Consider the following 21022-nt stretch of genomic DNA (forward strand, 5'->3'; position numbering starts at 1 on the left):
GTCTGTGTGGGCAGGGGGTTAGGGGAGAGAGAGCATCAAGAAGAACAGCTAATGCATGCTGGGCTTAATACCTAAGTGATGGGTTGATAGGTGCAGCAAACCACCATGGCACATGTTTATCTATGTAACAAACTTGCACATCCTGCACATATACCCTAGAATTTAAAAAAGAAAAAAAAGAATTCTAAGTTAAAGAATTAGAAAACATAGAAAAAAATAAAGCTTATCATTAAATGTAACTGCTAATTCTTTGCAACATAAATACAATGAATAACCTGTTAGCTAATCTATTCAAGATACGTGGAAGAAAGGACAAATAACAATTTAAATATCATAAAAGTGAAACAAACCACAAAAACCAAGTAAACTAAAAGAATCCAAAGAAACCACATTGCCCATGACTAAAAAACACATTTGAAAAACAAAAGGAAATGAAATGTTTTCATAAAGAAATGTAGTTTACAAAAACTGACACCAGAAGAGATGAAAGATCTAAGCAGACCAATTACCATAAAGGAAATATAGCAAGTTGCAAAAGAACTTTACCTTCATCCAATTCCCTAATCCCCCAATATCTCACCCAAGAAAGCACCAGGTCTAGACAGTTTCAGAGGAAAATTTTTCCAAGGCTTTCAGAAATAGATTACTTCAATGCTATTTAAATGGTTTCAGAACTTAGAAGGAGCACTTCCAAATTATTTTCATAAATCTAGCATAAAATCAGTATCAAAAACTAACAAAAATAACACACAACCAAAAACTACAGATAAATCTCAGATATGAGTATAAATGGAAATATTCTAAATAAAACATCAGTGAATAAAATCTAGCCACTTAACAGAGAAACACAACATAAACTAAGTAGATGTATTCCAGGAATGTAAAGATGTTTCAACATCAGCAAGTTTATCAGTTTAATTAGCAGCATTCATAGATCAAAAGAGGAAAATTGTATAACCATCTTCATAGGTACTGACAAGGTATTTAAGATTACTGTAAAAACAGCTGGAACTCTTATACACCTGGTGGTAGTAAAAATCTGCACAGCCACTTTGGGAAACGGACAGTATCTACAAAACTGAACATATACATACCCTATTATCTCTTAGGGTTAAGCCACAATAAATACATACATATGTTCAGTAAAAGACTTGTACCAGAATGATCATAACAACTGAAAGCTGAAAACAACCAAACATCCATCAACAGTGGAAGGGAGAAAAAAGTTATGGTATATTTCTACAATACCCTACAAACACTATTAAAGTGAGCAAACTTTGGCTACATACAGCATGGATCCATCTCATTGACATGATGTTGAGCAAAAGAATATATACTGCATAATTCCATCTATACAGAATGCAAAACAAGACAAAACTAATATATAGTTTTAGGAGTCAGGATAATGCTTACTTTTGGGGAGGCTATTACCTGGGAGGGGCTGTGTGGGGCTGTGTAGGAGCTTCTGGGATACTGATGATGCTCTCTTTTCTCACCTGGTTGTTGGGTTACACAGGTTCTCCACCTTATGAATCACAATACCAATGACTTGTGCACTTTTCTACATGCATTTCTACACTTTAAGATAAAGTATACTTTAAAAAAAAAAACAAAGATACTTTTGAACCCCTCGTGCTCCAGATAAGACCACCCTTTCCTTCTTCTCCTTGTTCCTGCTCACCATAGACAGGAATCAAAAGAAGGCCCAAGGCTTTGCCTGTTTGTGGCCATGCTTCCCACTCCATCCCCACCCTCCCTACAACTCTCAGAGCCTCACCGCCAGTATAGGCCGAAAGACCATCAGAAACAATTTCATTACACCTTTATGTGTTCACATCCATCGCCACAAGAAGCCCAGGACCCACAAGCTATCTCTCATCCCCTGTACTCTAACTTTCTTTCTGACCCTGTGTCTCATCCCTCTCCAACTGCTGAAACCTTTACACTGTTCCCTCTATGGCTCTTGGACAGTCTCCAGCAAAATCCTCAAACCCTCAGCTTCTTCTCTGAAAGTCCCCTTCAGTTTTTGCTCTAAAAGGACCTGAGGACCCTGCAGCCCTCTCCTGGTGGGACACTTTCTCCCCACATCCTTCTACCATGAGGCATATGGTGAGCTAGGGGTTCTCCTAGCTCTGTGTTGTCATTTCTTTTTTTTTCTTTTTTTTTTTTTCTTTGAGATGGAGTTTTGCTCTGTCGCCCAGGCTGGAGTGCAGTGGCGCGATCTCGGCTCACTGCAACCTCCGCCTCCCGGGTTCAAGCAATTCTCCTGCCTCAGCCTCCTGAGTAGCTGGGATTACTGGTGCCCGCCACCATGACCAGCTAATTTTTGTATTTTTAGTAGAGACGGGGTTTCACCATGTTGGTCAGGCTGGTCTCGAACCCCTGACCTCGTGATCCACCCGCCTCAGCCTCCCAAAGTGCTGGGATTACAGGCGTGAGCCACCGCGCCTGGCCTGTGTTGTCATTTCTTCTTCTGTCTTCTGTCTTCCCTGAAACTCCCAGCCTAGAATGTCTTGTTTTCAGGCTTTAACACCCTTCTCATTGTTGCATTTGCCTACCACTCCTGGTCACAAATATCCTGATGTTTTTCCTTTTCCCTTGCTGTCACTTCTTTAATATGCCCATCATAATTATTGATGTTTCAAGAGCCACAAAGATGATCCTTTCAACATCTTGGCCATTCTGTTCCTCCACCTCCCCTCATCCAGTGATCTTCTCCCTCTGTCCTCAGACACTCACCCTCATGGTAACACCCTAGACTTTCTAAACACCTTAACAGCACCTCCTCCAGCACCACAGTTTTAAGGATGGCCACTCTCTGACCACTACCTCTAGTCTTTTTGGCTTCACTCTCTCTATTATTTTTACTTTACCACTTTTTTATCTCCTTCACTGAGACCTACAAAACAGGGAGAAAGATGCATGTATTGAACAAAATACCGGTGGGTTTGAATAATGAACAGAATACCTGTAGCTCCATGTCTATAACCAGGACAGACTTAAATATATACAGGCATTAATAAATCTAGGAAGGAAGGACAATTTCAAATGGTGGCTTTTTTCCTAGATTCAAGAATATGTTGTTTTTTAACTGACTGTATATTTAGTGAGAAATTTAGTAGTATGATATCATAGTGGTTCAAATTTTGAATCTCTTTTTGAGAGAAAAGGGGGCAGGAAAGAACCAGAAAACATGGCATTAAGTAACTCAAAGAGGAGAAGTGGTTTCTCTTATTCTTTCCAAGGATCCTGTGGTAAAAGTAAGAAGGAAATGAAGTATATGCCAAGAGGAGAGCCCAAGGTAGTAAGGGTAGATGGGTAGTTATAACTACCTGTTGTTTCTTTCCCTTTTGGATGGCAGGGGCATGATTTACATGTTCATGAATTTCTAATCTAGAAGGCATTCATGCAAAACAAAGACCATAAGCTTATGTTACAACATAGTCTCTGCAAGGAAGGGACATGTCTGGTCAAGCTGTCAGAAATCACCAGAAGTCTCTCAGCGTGTGCCCCTTTGCTGTTCTGGAAGCTGTGTCAGTTCTTTGAAGCAAACCATATTTTTTTGGGCAACACACCAAATGGTGATGTAAACCTCAAAGCCTGATAAGTTGCATCTCAGTTCTAGCTTTTTCTCAGAAAACTTTGCTTTGTCTGCTACAACTTTTAGAAGATACAGAGGGAGAGAATTCATTGACTCATTGACTGGGGCAATAGTCAACAACATTAGGATGTTAGAGAAAGTCCAAGTTGAGGAGAACTGGATGTCTGAAACTCTTTGATTATAATACTTTTCCTTAATATTTTTTATGACTCTGCATCCTCAATATCTAGGATTAGATCCTGCAGCACTGAAGTGCAAACAGTCCTTGACAAAACAGATTTTATGGAAAAATCTGTTGATGTTTTCAACTATGTCTGTACATTTAGATGTAGGTGTTTTTTAAGAGCCTACTCTGCTTTTGGCACTGTTAAGGAGGTTATAAAAAGGAATAACGCAAGACCCCAATCACAAAGAACATATAATCTAGCAAAAGATATATGATCAAGCAGCATGACAAGATGGTATAAAATAAGAAAGCATGAATGGTCTAAACAGAAGTAGATTACCACAGTATGTACACTTGTGCATCATTTGAAGCAAAAAGTAAAGAGAACAGTCACCATTATCTGATTCCATTCAACAGTCTATCTCGTACCAGTGGAAGCTGGGGAGACAGGATTAGTTCTTGTTGCTTGCCTTTGATGTTGGGACCAAGATATATTATAGCAGATATATTTCTATAGCTCTTCCAGAAAAATTCTTTTAATAATGGAAGATAGATATCTCGGAATACTGTAAATTAAGCAAATAAGCCCTTCATTGTGAAGAATACGAACATTAAAACTAACAAATCAGTAATTGTTTCTTTTTATATTATTAAATTTGCATAAAGCGCAAAAATAAAACAAACTAAAACTTTGAAGATTAAAGACAGAATGATGGCCAGAGCACCTCCTTCCTCCGTCCTAAAAGTGTAATAATTCAGATCACATTTAGCACTTTCACTTAGTGGATAAACTAGAAGGCAAAGCAAACACTCCTGGACTGTGCCTGTGAAGAAGTGAGCAAAAATGTGAAGTCTTGCTTGCATTATCTTGTAAATTTGGCAATGAATTTTCCATGAGGAAAAAACTGTAATTTCAATTCCTAAAAGACGCGAATTAAGTTGGACAGTTTTGGAACCTGGATTTATATATCGATTTGGTTTATACAGTCTTAGCAACTATCCCCTATGCTGGGGTATCAAAGCTGTAGAAATTATCAGTTTCTCAGTTGCAATTCAACGTCAGTGTTGGGGGGTTAGGCAAGTGGGTAAATATAACAAGTTGTCTCCTCAGAAAATATTTATTCTGAAGTACTATTTGAAATGTTGCCAGAAAAGAATGTTTTAAATTTTAGAGTTTTACATTTTTGAGTTTTAAGTTTTGGAGTCCATGTTCTTTTGGTTAGTTATTTTTAAAGTAATCCGATGCAATAAAATAAATAGATGAAATAATCTTATAGAAAATATTCAATTATACTATTAATAAAGAAGGGTAATTATAAATGAAATAATATTTGTTGCTGAACAAATTAGCAAAGATTGTTTTTGATGAGGATAGCCCATGCCGTGAAAGTGTATGGTTTAATTGGTACTTCCATACATTCCTGGAGTAAGGGTTCATTGGATCATTGTTTTCTAATGAAATGTAATAATATATATCACGAGCCTTTAAAGTTTCTAAGACATTTCACTCACTATTGCTAATCCTGGGAATCCATCTTATCTAAAACATAAAAAGCTTCTAGAAATTTTATGACCAAAGATCCATTAACAATAAAAATCCTTCCCTTTAATCCAAATGAACCAATTTACGTCATGTACTTATCACTGGGCCAGAGGAAATGCCCAGTGCATAGGTAGACAAGGTAAGCCTGAAATTCTAAGTCAGCCATTGGAAAGAAAATGGGAACACCAAAACTGGCTTAGACTAATCCCTAATGACCTCCAGAGCTAGAGTCAATTTCTGAAACTACATCCCTGCTACACAAGGGGAGAGGAACTGGATGCATAAGAGGAACTGATCTCTATAGCCACCCCACCTGGTTCTCTAATTTTCCTCACCTCAATGTGGGGAATAACCTGCATCTGTCAGGTTACATGATATGATTTGGATGTTTGGCTCCACCAAATATCATGTGCAAATTTAATCTCCAGTGTTGAGAGGTAGGGCCTAGTGGGAGGTGTTTGGTTCATGGGGGTAGATTGCTCAGAAATAGACTACTGCCCTCCCTTCAAGGTGAGTGAGTTCTGACTCTATTAGTTCTGGAGAGAGCTGGTTGTTAAAAAGAGTCTGGCACCTCCCCCCTCTCTCTTGCTTCTCTCTCACCACGTGATCCCCTTCACCTTCCGCCATGAATGGACAGACTGAGGCCCTCACCAGATGCAGATGTCAATACCATACTTTTTTGCATAGCCTGCAAAACTGTGAGCTAAATAAACCTATGTTCTTTATAAATTGTCTAGCCTTAGGCATCCCTTATAGCAACACAAAACAGACTAAGACATTACTTAAGACAAAAAGGTGGAATCATCCCTCAGTCCCCTTTTCCATAGTCCTCATATCCAGTGCAAAACTAAGCCCTATTATTAGGCAGAATCATGTGAAATTGTCAATATGTGACCTCTTTAACCTACAAAAATGACAGTATCATAAAATTCAACCTGCAAAATATTTCTCAAACCCATTCATTTCTCTTCCACCAGCACCCTAGTTGAAGCCACTCCATTCTTCCCCTAGACAACTGCAGTGGCCTCCTGATCACCAGCCTCCTTTCCACTCTTACCTCCATTCTAGCCAGAGCAATGTTTCCTGAACATAAATCGAGTATGACGCTGCATTTTAAAGCCCATCGTGGTTCCCTATTGCTCTTAGAATACATTGCAAACTTCTTTGCCTGGCCACGAAATCCCCACCTCATCAGATTCTTACCTTCAACTCCAGTCTCCTCCCACTTTGTGCTCCAGGCCTCAGGGACCTCCTGTTGCTCTTCCTCTTCCCTCATGCCCTGCTGACTGCCCAGAACACTCCTCTCCTCACCTGTCAACTGGCCAATGCTTCACATCCTGCATCTTTACACTTCAGTTACCTTCCCTGAACCAGCCTCTCCAGACTCCCCAGTCTATTTCATTTTCCCTAGTGAATCCCTCATAGTACCCTACTTGTTTCCTTTTTGGAAGCAATTTGTAAATACATATTTATTTTGTTGTTGTTGTTGTTTATTTTTTAATCTCTCTCTTCCTACTAGTCTGGATACTTAAGGGCAGAAATTGTGTCTTTTCTTGTTTTCATCAATACTGGGTACACAGCAAACCTTCAATAAATCTTTGTGGACTAGATTATTGTATAAATGAACAAATAAATGAATTAATGTGCCAGGTTAAAATGTTGATGGAAAAAAATAGGCTATAAAACTGTGTGGACATTATGATTACAACTATTTTGTAAGACCAAGCACTAAAGAAAGAGAGGCTTAGAAGGAAATAAAACAAAATGTTTCATTTGGGTGATGGGATTATGAGTAATCTGATTTTTTTCTCTTTGCTTTTCTGTATTTTCAAATTTTCTTTAATAAGTATAACTTCAAATATATATTTTAAATTTTTGAGAAAAATATTTACTTCCCCTATAATCTCCTCCTTTCAAAATTAAAATTAAAATTTGATCTCACAATATTTATTATAAAATGTTTTCCTCTATATTTTCCAGCATATGTAGTCAATTTCTCTTTCTGGCATACAGGAGTTGAGGAGTGCATAAGGAGATTCTAAATGGAATTCTTGGATGGAAGAAGACAGTCACTAATTCCTGGTTCCAGAATGTGGAGAAAATTAACTAGATTACATAAATATCTACATGCCATTGTTTATTGTAGATGTGGATAATTATGCATTTTCCATGTAAGGTGGTATTACCTGACATTTTCAAGCAATTTCATCGCCAGATGGGCTTCTAAAACTTTACCACTGTGTCCTCAATGTAATCATCAGTAAAGATAACTCCCTATTTTCTGAATAAATTACCTGTTTATCCTCATCGAATATTCCTCATTGAAACCTTTTTTCCACTCTGACTTTCCTTCATTTTAAAAAAATATCAGACATGGGCCAGGCGTGGTGACTCATGCCTGTAATCCCAGCACTTTGAGAGGCCAACGCAGGCGGATTGCTTGAGCCCAGGAGTTCCAGACCAGCCTGGGCAACATGGCAAGACCCCGTCTCTACAAAAAAAATTAAAAATTAGCCTGGTATGGGCTGGGTGCAGTGGTTCATGCTCAGGCAGGAGAATCGCTTGAGGCCGGGAGGCGGATGTTGAAGCAACTGGAGATCATGCCACTGCACTCCAGCCTGGGTGACAAAGCAAGACTCAGTCTCAAAAAAAAAAAAAAAAAAAAAAAAAAAAAGAGCCTGGTATGATGCCCCTATAGTCCCAGCTACTTGAGAGGCTGAGGTGGGAGAATCACCTGAGCTGGGGAAGTCAAGGCTGCAAGTCAAAGCCCTGATTGCACCACTGCACTACAGCCTGGATGACAGAGTGACTGACACACAGTCTCAAAAAAAAATTAATAATAATAAAATAAAATAAATCAAATGTGTTTATACAGATGAAAAGGAAATAAAGTGCAAAATTCTTTCTGTTTCAAATCCACCCACTTCTTGCTGCTTCTTGCCACATCCCCTCTGCCACCACTCCAATCCAGGCTACTGTCATTTCCAACATGGTCCTTCCATTCATTTAAAAGAACATTAGGAGATAGTTTATATAAAATAAAATGCACCCCCCTAGTTGCACATTTCAGTGAGTTTTGACACATTTATACCTCAGTGCAAGCACCATCAAAGAGATGTAGGACATTTCCAAAATCTCCCCCATGCCCTATCCCAGTAAATCCATTGTATGGAAAGACCACAACTTGTTTTATCTATTCCCTTCCTGATGGACACTAGAGTTGTTTCAAGTTTTTGGCTACTGTGAATAAATATTCTACCTGCATTCATGTATGAGTCTATGCAAACATGTGTTTTCATTTTCCTTGGGTAAATACCTAGGAGTGGGATTGCTGAATTATATGCTACATGTATATTTAACTTCATAAGAAACTGACAAACTGTCTCAACAATGTTTTTCAAAAAATCAGAAGTTCTTAATTTTAAATAAGTTTATCACATTTTTCTTTTATGATTAATGCCTTTTATGTCCTTTTTTTGCCTACCCTAGGTTGTGAAATTTTTATTTTCTATATTTTTTCTAGAAGTTCTACAGGTTTGACTTTTCCATAGAAATTTTTAGAATCAGGTTGGCAATTTTTACCAAAAAAAAAAAATCCTGGTAGAATTTAAATTAGAAATATGCTAAATAGATCACATTCAGAAAATGAACATTGTAAAAATATTGTTTTCCCATTCATGAACATGGTAAATCTCTTAACTTATTTATATCTTCTTTAATTTCTCCCAGAAATGTTGTATGGTTTTCAGTGTAAAGGGTCTGTACTTACTTTGTTAAATTTATCCCTAAGTATTTCATATTTTGGGTGCTATTGTAAATAGTATTTTAAATTTTCAATTTACAATTGTTCATTCTATACAATGCAAATATAAAAGAATTGTCCATATATAAAAATTAATTTCTGTATACCGACCTTGTATTCTGCAACCTTGTTAAACTCATGTATTAATTCCAATAGCTTTTTGTAGATTTCTTAATATTTTCTTCAGACATAATCACTTTATTGCAAATAAAAACATACTATTTTCTTTCTTTCCAATCTGTATTCCTTTTATTTCTTTTTCTGGACTTTTTTCAGTGACTAAAATTTTGAGTATAATGTTGAGTATAAATGGTGCGAGTGGGCATCCTTGCCTTGTTCACAGTCTTAGTTAGAAATCATTCAGTTTTTTCAGAATGAATCATGATGTTAACTGTAGGTTTTTTGTAGATAATGTATCAGGTTTTTATTCTGGTTTGCTGAGAAGTTTTAAATCAAATGGGCATAATATAATTTTATGTAAAGAATTCTATTTGCTAAAGTATTGTAAAGATTTTTACATTCATGTCTATGTGTTATATTGGTCTTTAGATTTCTCTTTTTTGTAATAACCATTGTCTGATTTTGGTAGAAGAGCAAACCTGATCCCAAAGATTGTTTGTAAAATGTTTTCTTCTCCTCTCTTTTTTGAATGAGTTTGTGGAAAATTGGTATTATGTCTTTCTTAAATTTGAATAGACTACCACCAGTAAAGCCACCTGGGTTGAGGTTGTATGTTCATATGTCTGTGTGTGTGTGTGTGTGTGTGTGTGTGTGTGTGTGTGTGCATGTGTTTGAAAGTTTTCACTTATTAACTCAATTTTCTTAATACATACAGGGCTCTTCAGATTTTCTATCTCTTCTTGAGTCAATTTTGATAAACAATGTCTTTCAAAGAATTTTTTCACCTCATCTAGGTTTTAAAATTTATTAACATAATGTTACTCAAAATATTTTATTATTTTAAAAAATATCTATAAGATCTGTAGTGAAGTACCTCCTTCATCATTGTCAATCTAGCTAGCATGTTAATAATGTTATTGATTTTTCCAAATATCAGATTTTGGTTTTATTCTTTTTCTCAATTGTTTTTCTACTTTCAATTTTATTGCTTCCTATTTTTTTCTACTTACTTCAGGTTTCAATTGCTTCTTGTTTTTCTAGTTTCTTAAGATAAAAGCATATGCTTTGATATGATCTTCTTTTTAATAACTTCCATTTATTTCCTCATTATGTCTTATGTTTTCCTTTACACTCTGGAAAATATATAATAATTATTTTAATATCATTATGTGTTAATTCCATTATTTGCTGCTGTATCTTTTTCTGTTTCTTGTTTCTATTTACTCACTTTTTCTTTGTTATGGGTCACATTGTCCTGCGTCTTTTAGGTCTAGTAATTGTTTATTGATTGCTGGTCATTTTGATTTGTATGTTGTTTACTAGATTATGTATAGTTTTTAGGAGTGTTGGACTTTTTATGGCAGAAAGTTATTTATAGATTGGTTTACTCTTTTGGGGCATATTTTTAAGTTCTTTTAGGGTAGGTGTAAAGTAGCCTGTAGTCTAGAGATAATTTAGCCCCATTTCTGAGACACACTCTTCTGGGGTCTCTGTTAATTGCCAGGAGTATTTAGTGAGGTCTCTTCTCTGGCTGAGGGAATTAGGACAATTCCCAGCTCTGTTTGAGCTATGGGAATTACTTGTATCACAACTCTCCACTAATAGTGCTTTCCTTAAGAATTATTTTTGGTTGGCTTCATGAATTTTCACCCTGTGCATGTGTGTATTGGTATTCAGCCAAAGACTCAAGGGAACGTTTATGCAGATTTCTGGAACTTTTTCTGCAAATAACTCCTCCTGGGTACCCTGCCCCAAAATTCTAAATGCCTCAATGTCCCAGAACTTTGATGTCCTTCTCCTCAACTAAGAAAGATTGTTGCATTGTATTTGAGTTCCTGTTTCCTACACCTAAAACTGGAAATTACCTCTGGACATAAAGCTTTAATGATGGTAGGGCTTACATCATCTGTTTCCCTTTTTTCAGAGATTACGCTCTTTTACTACATGTTGTGTAATAGCTGAAAATAGTTGTTTCTTATAATTTTCCAGTTTTTTCATTATTTGCAGTGGAAGGATAATTCCAGATCCTATTTATTTCCTATGGCTAGAAGCGTAAGTCTCTTCCCTTTCTGTTCATTTTTGACATCTGCCATCCATTCTCCCCGCTGTAGCCAGAGTGATTCTTTCAACACAAATCTGATCATCTCAGTACCATGCTGCAATGAGGGCTGCAGACCCCACCTGGTCTTATCCCACCTACTCCCCCAGCATCAGTTTGCACCATTTCCCAATTTCTACTTCATGCGGCAGCACACTAAACTACTTTCAACGTTCTTCAAATATGCCGTGCTCTCTCTCATATCTGAACAATTGCACATATTCTTCTCTCTACTTAGAAGAGATGCCCTGCGCCCCACGTAGCCACTATTTCTGCCTAAAATCTACTTGTTCTTCATAACTAATTTATGTTTCTTCCTCAGAGAGGTCTCCCACAAAACCAAGAGTTGGTTTTACACCTGCCCAACACTCTCATAATGCCTTGTATTTGCCCTGTGTGATAACCCTCATCATTTTATTATACTTATTGTTTAATATCTGTATTCTGTATTGGACTGTTAAATACAAGTGAAAGTTCAGCATCTCTCTCACTAAATCTGCCAAATCCCCAAGTGCCTCACATAGCAGCTTGCAGAATAGCTCTCAATAAATATTTGTGAATAAATTAATAAAACATAAGGTAATTAACTAAAGAACTGATAGTGGGGGTAGGGGGAGTAGGGAGAGAAAAGGCAAAAAACCAAAACCGCCAACAAAACCTAATATGTTAAAAAAAAAGCAAAAACAAAACAGAAGGGATCTTAAGGACAGCAAGTTTCCATTTTGCTGACTCTATGAGTCAAATTTCCCAGATGTCACTTAGCTCCTCACCAGTTTGCCTGTCGACAGAGGCACTAAGGTAAGAATGGTGCATTTGATACCTTTCTCTCTGCAAACCAGGAAGACTCGGAGTAAATGCTTTTCTATAATGGAGTTTTTAGAAGTAATCATGATGAACAAAGTCTCACAATAATTGAATGTAGTCCCCAATGGTTCTATTACTCTGTCTTGGATAATTCCACAGAAGAAGCAGGTCCATTATGCCTTAACCTGTTCTTTGTCACCACTGTTGATTTAGTGTCATGGTAAACAAATGTCCACAGTCCTATTATGACATTCATCATCCTAATCAAGTCATCAGAACAAACAAAGTTAGATTGTAGCAATCAAAGATCTGGGAAACAATATCGAAAGATTGTATGTTTTATACAAGCGAAACATGCAGAGGTTGTAACATTTTAATTCAAAAGTTGTGGCTCTATTGTCTAAAATGTAGAAGTGGCCGGAATGTTTGTAGTCATTCAGTCTTTATCATTTATCACTTTTTCAAAAAATAAAATGAAATCAAACTTTTTCCCTTAAAGGGGTATGCTTTAGTGTCATGTTTAGAAGACCCAACAAAAGGAGGCATTTCCAAACTAAAGCTGATTCCCTTATGAAACTTTTTGGTGGCAAGGAAGTCATTTATTCACTATTCAGTGACATCATAAAATATTAGATAGAACTAAAAGTGTCTGTACAGTATTTGGTCCAATCTCCTGTTTTAGAATCACAAAGTGGTTTTTCAACAGGATCCACTGTTTCCTTGAGTATCATTTCTCCCTCTGATGTTTGACCTCATTTGACCTCTGGTCCATTAATGCTTCTCTTCTTTTCTCTTTCCATCAGCCCCTTTGCGTCTCACTTCCCCCATTTCCAGCCTTGCCTCCACAGCAGGTGGTGGGGGCACTGCTCTAGCTAACCATCAAGAGCTTACCCTGCTGACCTGCCCTGTCTGACATTCCATGAGGCACTGAACCAGCCTCATGTCCTCAAAGTCCTCTTGGACATTTCTCTGGCAAGCGTCTCCTCTTCAGCTAACATCTGCACTCTAATTCCATCAATGGATTCACAAGAGCAAATCACTAACCTGGAGAATTGATCCACTTCAGAGCCAAGCTCTCTAACCTCCCCAGGCTGCTGGTTGGTTCTTTAATTCATCTCATACTGATGTTCACCCTCACAGAATTGAACTCCACCCTCACAGAATCTTTAAATCATTAAATCTTGTAAATACCTGGAATCCTGGAGACCAACAAATCCAAATCTTTTTTCTTATAAATAAAGAAATGGAAGAAAGCCCAAGATATTAGGTCACACAGTTAATGATAAAGGTCTGACTATAACCCAGAAAAGGGAAACTACAACTCCTTATTCCACCCTAGTTCACCTGTGCCCTCACCCTTCAAGTTGTGGGTTATCATTTCAACACCTATTTAACGAACAACAAATAAATCAGCCGGTAGAAACTCCCTTGATTTTCTGTCTCTACCCCAACATGACGGAATGAAAAATATATATAGGCTTTGGTTCCAGAAAGACCAAGTCTCAGCTCCACTATTTACCAAAAATGTGGCCTTGAGGAAGTGACTAAACCCATTTTGGCCTAAATGTCTTTCCCTGTAAAACAGCAACAGTAGACTGGTAATACATTCCAGAAAGGGCCATCAGCGCTCGCCAAGTCCCCACATTCGACCATCTTTTTTCAGTCCTCATCCATCGTCATCTCTCTGCAGCTGTTACCCATTCTTCCTGCTTTAAAACACTAGTTCTCTGCCTTGACCACAAATTGTCATCACTTAGAGAACTTTAAAATCTGCTGATTCTTGGGCCCCTTCCTCAGAGATTCTGATATAATTGGTATGGAGTGTAGCCTGGGAATAGGAATGTCTGGATCCCTCAGATGATTCTAGTGGGAGAAAAGTTTGAGAAGCGCTGTGTTTTGTTTTTTTTTTTTTTTTTTTGAGAGTTATGCTAATCTTGTTTGTTTGTTTGTTTGTTTGTAGGTGCAGGGGTACATGTGCAGTTTTGTTACATAGGTAAATTGTGTGTCACTGGGGTTTGGCATACAGTTTTGCCACCCAGGTGATAAGCATAGTACCCAATAGGTAGTTTTTCTATCCCCTTCTTTCTCCCGCCCTCCACCCTCAAGTCAGCCCCAGTGTCTATTGTTCTCGTCTTTGTGTCTGTGTGTACTCATGTTCCCACTCATCAATGAGAACATGCAGTGTTTGGTTTTCTGTTCCTACATTAGTTCACTTAAGATAATGATGGCCTCCAGCTCCATCCATGTTGCTGCAAAGGACATGATCTCATTCTTTTTCTTTGGCTGCATAGTATTCCAGGGTGTATATGTGCCACATTTCATTTACCCAGTCTACCATTGATAGGCATTTAGAATGATTTCATGTCTTTACAATTATGAATAGTGCTGCAATGAACATATTCATGCCTGTATCTTTATGGTAGAACAATTTATATTCCTTTGGGTATATACTCAATAATGGAATTGCTGGGTCAAGCGGTACTTCTATTTTAAGTTCTTTGAGGAATCACCACACGGCTTTCCACAACAGCTGAACTAATTTACATTCCCATCAACAGTGTATAAGCATTCCCTTTTCTCTGCAACCTCACCAGCATCTGTTATCTTTTGACTTTTTAGCAATAGCCATTCTGACTGCTGTGAGATGGTATCTCATTGTGGTTTTGGTTTGCATTTCTCTAGTGATTAGTGATGTTGAGTTTTTTTTTTTACATACTTGTTGGCCACGTGTATGTCTTCTTTTGAAAAGTGTTTGTTCATGTCCTTTGCCCACTCTTTAATGGGATTGTTTATTTTTGCTTGTTAATTTGTTTCAGTTCCTTATAGACTCTGGATATTAAGCCTTTGCAAATATTTTCTCCCATTCTATAGGTTGTTTACTCTATCAATAGTTTCTTTTGTGATGCAGTAGCTCTTTAGTATAATTAGGTCCAATTTGTCCATTTTTGCTTTCATTGCAATTGCTTTTGGCATCTTTGTCATGAAATCTTTGCCAGGGCCTATGTCCAGAATGGTATTTCCTATCCTAGGTTATCTCCCAGGGCTTTTATAGTTTTAGGTTTTATATTTAAGTCTTTAATCCATCTTGAGTGGAATTTTGTATATAGTGTAAGGAAGGGGGTCAGCTTCAATCTTCTGCATAAGGCTAGCCAGCTCTCCCAGCACTATTTATTGAACAGGGAGTCCTCTCCCCATTGATTGTTTTTTGTCACCTTTATCAAAGATCAGATGGTTGTAGGTGTGTGGAGAAGTGCTGCTTTAAAATCATTGCTTGTTGTATTCCTGAGACAGACTGCTGTTCTGTGTTTTCTCCTACCTCTCGGTCACTTCTTTGTATCTGTCACTGCTATTTTTCTAATACTCTGATGGTTTTATCCATAGCATCTACAAACATAGCTCATTTGCATCTGAACACTTGACATCTAACTCAAGTTCCCCATATCTGCCTCTCTTGACTTACATATTTGGGTTAAAAGTCCATTCATTTTCATAGTTGCCCTGGCTCAAAACTAGACATGTGGAAAAGTCTAGACACTTAAAGCTTGATTCCTCTTTCTGCTGTTGCTGCTCTGTCCAGCCAGGGCCAGGCTGTTCTTTTCTCTCTCCTTCATCGTCTTTCATGGCTACTGCAATATCCTCCAAAATGTCTCTGCCTACCACCCTTCTCCCCTGGTTCCGTTTCCACCCCTCGATTATTGAATGGGTTTCTTCTCCATAGCATCTATCAACATCCTAATGGAGTGGTGTTCTCAGGGGCCCACCATGGGAATGTTGCAATAAATTTTGTTACAAAATAATATCCCTCCCCCGACATGCCAAGTCACCTTCTCCGGTGCATTTCTTTTCTTCCTAGCACTGGTCACCTTCTAATTTCACATTATATGTTTGTTAGTTATGTTTATTGTTAGATATCTGTCTCCCATCATTACAGCATAAGCTACATTAGGGAAGACATTTTTCTTTTTGTGTTTTTTGATTTGTTCCAAGATCCTAGAAGAGTGCCTGGCACTCAATCATCCTTTGTCAAATAAATTAATAAATTTCAGCCATAGTCAGCAATTAGTGAATTATTCACAAAGAGGTGAGTCCTGCTACCAGAGTTCAGAGTGCCCTGGTAGGATTGCCTCAAGCCCTTCTCCCTGAGACATCCTTGGGCTTCAGGAGGTGAAAAGGTGTAGAGTAGGTAAGGAGAAGAAGAGGTCAGCATGGTAGACCCATCAGATAAGACCATGTATTGATTTTTGCAGAACTTCTTTTGGTTGTTTCCTATTCCACTGTATTTATAAAATGTGGAAATCCCTTGTCACATCACTGTTCAGTCCTGACACAGCCCACAGAAAATTACAAGGGACATAGGCTATCTACTGGCTGAGCAGAGCTCAACAGGCACCAGTGATTTCTTCAGGGCTTCCCAGCACCAAAGATACAGCAAGTAATCTTTCTCTGAGATTAACCTGGCCTCCAGCCACCATAAACACTCAATCTCCCTTACAGGGAGGAAAGATTAAATATCTGATTAAAATTTTTGGCTGCTAATTTATTGAACTTGGATGGAGGAACTGTTTGCAAGTCACATGACTTTCCCTGTGTGTCTGCCGTCGTTGTCCCACGCAACAGAGCGAGGTCACCGTGCAGCTGAAAAACAAGGAGCAGCCGAGTCCACGGGGGCGGGTGGCCGAGGGGTACAGTTTTGGGCCATCTTGGACAACTGGGGGGTCAGTTCTTCCCCAGTTGGTTCAGGAAAGTTCACATAGTCTGTGGCTGTTTCTGTTTCAGCCTCTCACTCTCTGTTCTTGATGCTTTGTAGATTTGGTTCATTTCATCCCACCCCTGCCTATTGTTCTGAGCCACCCAGTGCAATGATGTCATGGGCAGCTTAAAAGTATACAGGAAGTCTTCAAAGCTGAATGACTTCAATATACTTTATTCCATGCGCTCTTGCTGCTGGCTGTCTATGGAAACTGTGCCCGGCAGAACTCAGGGAGGCAGCCATAGGGTTGGAGACTCTCCTCTCCTCCTCCCCCATTCCATGCTCCCCACCCCACCCCCGTGCCTACTGCTCCCATCCCTCACCTCCATCCCAGGGTTTGGACAGAGGCCAGACCAAAGGAGGGAGGGAAGCTAAGAGAAAGGAAAGCCAGGGGAATCGAAGGTCAAAGGGAGTTTCATCAGAAAAATAGGGGTGCAGGACTCCCAGGACAACCAAAGGTCACTTTTACTGGCCTTTGAGTGATAAAGTCAGTCTGTCTGGCAGAGCTGCCAGTCATGGTACTGCCCCTGGAGAGGAAAAAGTGACAAAAACCACAAGTGACTTGCCTCAACTTGCAAACTGCAGCAAGAGTGTGGCATGTGATGGCTGCCCAGGGATACATTTGGAGTAAAGTTAAACATGAGGTGGCTTGTAACAGGATAATAATAGCAGATGTGAGGATGGGGCTTTACTGTTCACACAGCACCTTTGTATATACATACTGTCCTCTGTGTCCCTCACAAATCCCAATGATGGAGGTAGGGAAAAGCATGAAGAAGGGAACGTTTTTACTTACCCAAAATCACTCAGCTGTCCAGGGTAGACTTGGGGCTCAAGTCCAGATCCCATGTTTTCCCAGCACTCCACTCTGTGCTCACATCACAGTCCTGGCTTCCTCTCCTTATCCCTACTCTTGTTAGAAATTACCTCTGAGTTCATCCTTGTCCAACTATCATTTTTTCATATTGCCGCACCTTGTGGAACTAGAAGAATTCTTCTTTGCTCCCACAAAAATAACACAGAGTTTGTGCCTGGCCGTGGTGCCTGTACCTGCTCAACCCTCCACAGCCTTGCAGGGAATGAATTTCATAGGTATACAGGCTAGCCTTCGTCACATTGTTGCAATGGCATTGTGCATTGCCTAGTCATTATTACACACCCTGAGGCAACTATAGTTACATGGTACTGGTATTGAGCTAAGAAAACATACTCGGAACCAGGTGTGTGTTTTCCTGAAGTCATTCTGCACAAGCACAGAAGACAGGAGTTCTCAATCTGGGGTCTATAGATAGAATTTAGGGGGGTGCCTTGAAACAGTGTGGGAAAAAATACATCTTTCTTTTCATTACACTTTAATTTAAATTTAGCATTTTCTTATGAATGTAGACAGCACACCACATCAGTATGTCAGTATATCTGTGACTTCGTTACCACTAGAAACTATAGATTTTTCAAATCACATTTCAGTTGTAGCAGGTATCTTGAAATAACAGTTATGCTCATCACTACTTGGAATTATAGTGTCAGAATTGGAGAATTATGGTATTAGACCTGCTGCTTAATCTTGTTATGCATTGCATTGTACAGACGCACAGATATTTTCATATCACAAACCTAGTTTCTGAACATTTCGATAACGCATGCCCCCAGCTGCACGGAAGGAACCCTAACCTTTTTCAAGATCCTTTATTCCACCCTGTCCTAATTATTTCTTGACGTTTCTGGGGATGTTTCAGACCATATTTCCACATAACTGGCTTCCTTTCTAATCCTAAATATATTATCTTATGCATTTAAAGTATTAGTCTGAGAAGGAGAATGCAGGCTTCATCATACTGCCCAAAGGATCCATGGATCATGAACCAAAAAGTTAAGAGCCCCAGATTTTGCTGTAGTTCAGAGTGCTGGGGTGGGGTACAAAGGGCTTGGTAACCCGATCTGAGCCTTCCCACAGCCTGCTAGTACTCCACTCTGGGCAGGGAGAGAGACACAGGCCCAGGCCATGTCCGGTGAGGAGCTGGGGTGACCCTGGCAGCTGTGCTCACCGTCATCTCCTGGTGCTGCTGCCCCAGCCAGTTCACATCCTCACACTCATCCCAGGGACTGCACCTTCTGATGACTGCACTGGAGTGTTCCTTCTCACTAAGCCTCACAGCCAGGGCTTCAGAGCTGCTTCCCGGCAGGCCCAGCCATACCACTAGCACTCTGAAGCATTGCCTCTGGCTCTCTTCAGAGAAAGCGTGGTCAGGACAAGCTGTTCCATGTACAGTTATCAAGCCTGGTTTCCCAGCACATTTCAGTGGCAACTCTGCACAGCATAGCAACCAACTCCATCGCCTCTCTGTGGCCCTCAGTGTGGGGGAGTAGCCAAGCCAGGGACAGGGAGGAATCTAAGTTATTGGAGGTAGGATATGTGCACAGCCATTAGGGCTTTTTGCCCAGCCTATCGGGCTGAGGTGATCTAATCCTACAAAAATTGAATACTATTTCCTACATACTAGCCTTGTTATTCTGGGTCGCGTAACTCCATTGCTCATGGAACTTAACTCTAGGCCTCCCCTGTCTATGCAGACATAGTAACACTGATTGTCAATTTCTATGGCGTAAGGCTCCCTACCTGCATAAAAGGAACTTGCTCCCTGCAGGAGCTTTTTATGTACTCAGCCCTAATTATTTCTTGCAGTCCCCGGTGATGTCTCAGACATTCTTGTGAATCTGTCTAGACCAAGTCGTGGCCACCACCACCCAGCCTTGACACAAGGATCCAGGCCCTTTCTTGCTGCCTTTGTTCGCCACCACTGTGGCCACAGCCATGGCACATTCCTGCTGATCTCTGCCTCCCCTGATATGTTAGCGAAGTCTTGGGTGCCGGTTTCAATCCTCCTGGCACTTGGGTACTCCAGGCAGTTGGTTACAAAGTGAGAAGAGTAGCTCCCTGCTCTCTGAGGTCCCGGCTGCTAGTAGGCACCACAGCAGGGCAGCATGGGCTGGAAGATGCTGAAGCCTGGCTTACTGAGTGGCACCTCCTAATGCACAGACAGCCGTTCCCACTCCAGGCTGCACAGAGCCCTGCAAAGTGGTGGGGTCAGGGCAGATTCAAGAAAATCTAAGGTCTACACCTTCTCTCAGCCCCACAACCTTGTTGGTAAGTTGGACTCACTGCCTGAATCCCCCTTCCTTAGGTCGATCCCTCTCTCAGGCATCCGGAGAATCTCCCCAGCAATTTGACCTCTGTCACCCTGCCCTGCTCTCCCCATTTTGTTCTCCAGATGAGCTGGTGTACATCAGGACCCCCTTTGAAGACCCAGTTCACCGTCTCTTACCGGGAAACTTCTTAGCCCCCAGAAAAATCCAAACACAAACAGCTGGCTGGAGGCTGGATGAGAAAGGAGTATCCTGACTCCACCCCCAAGACCCGTCCTGCCTCAGCCTGGCCCCAGCAGAGATGCTGTCTACAGTTGGTAGAATCCATCTCCTTCTTCAAATGCTTTTAAGGAAGCCACATTGTGGAAGGCAGTGAGAAGATCTCTTGCTCTCGCTTCCTGTACCTACAGTAGAGCCTTGGCATTATGTGAGGTGGAAGGAACTTGGACCCTGGAGTTTGAGTAAACAATACTCCAGCAACAACTTTGCCACCTGCTCACAGTGAGACCTGGGCAAGAGCTCTCTGAAGCTACTTTCTCACAGGGAGATGGGAAAGACTCGTCCTCGCCCTTGGGGTTGTTTTGAGGGTTAAATGGAAAACCTAAGATAAAGAACCTAATACAATGCCTTGCACATAGTTGGCATCTGATAATTCTTAGTTCTTATTTTTAATATATTTTTTGACTTGTGCCAGAGTGTACCATGTGGATGTTAGAGGCATTGAAAGGAGGTTTCTGGAATTGCATAACAAGCTTATCAATTACAAAAATATTTCCTTGCTATTCATTAAGTCCTAAAAAAGAAATATAAGCAATATGAAATTGTTTACATTATGAAATAACAACAGATATAACTGAATAATTTGTAAAGCAAAATTAAAATCATCCTATTCAATGTGCAGAAAAGTGGGGGAAAGGTGGGGAAGAGAACTTACATTATTCAGGTACCTATTATGTGCTATTCATATTGGCACATAATAGGTGCCTGAATATTT

This window comes from Homo sapiens, chromosome 18, assembly GCF_000001405.40.
Source record: "Homo sapiens chromosome 18, GRCh38.p14 Primary Assembly".
Taxonomy (NCBI): Eukaryota; Metazoa; Chordata; class Mammalia; order Primates; family Hominidae; genus Homo; species Homo sapiens.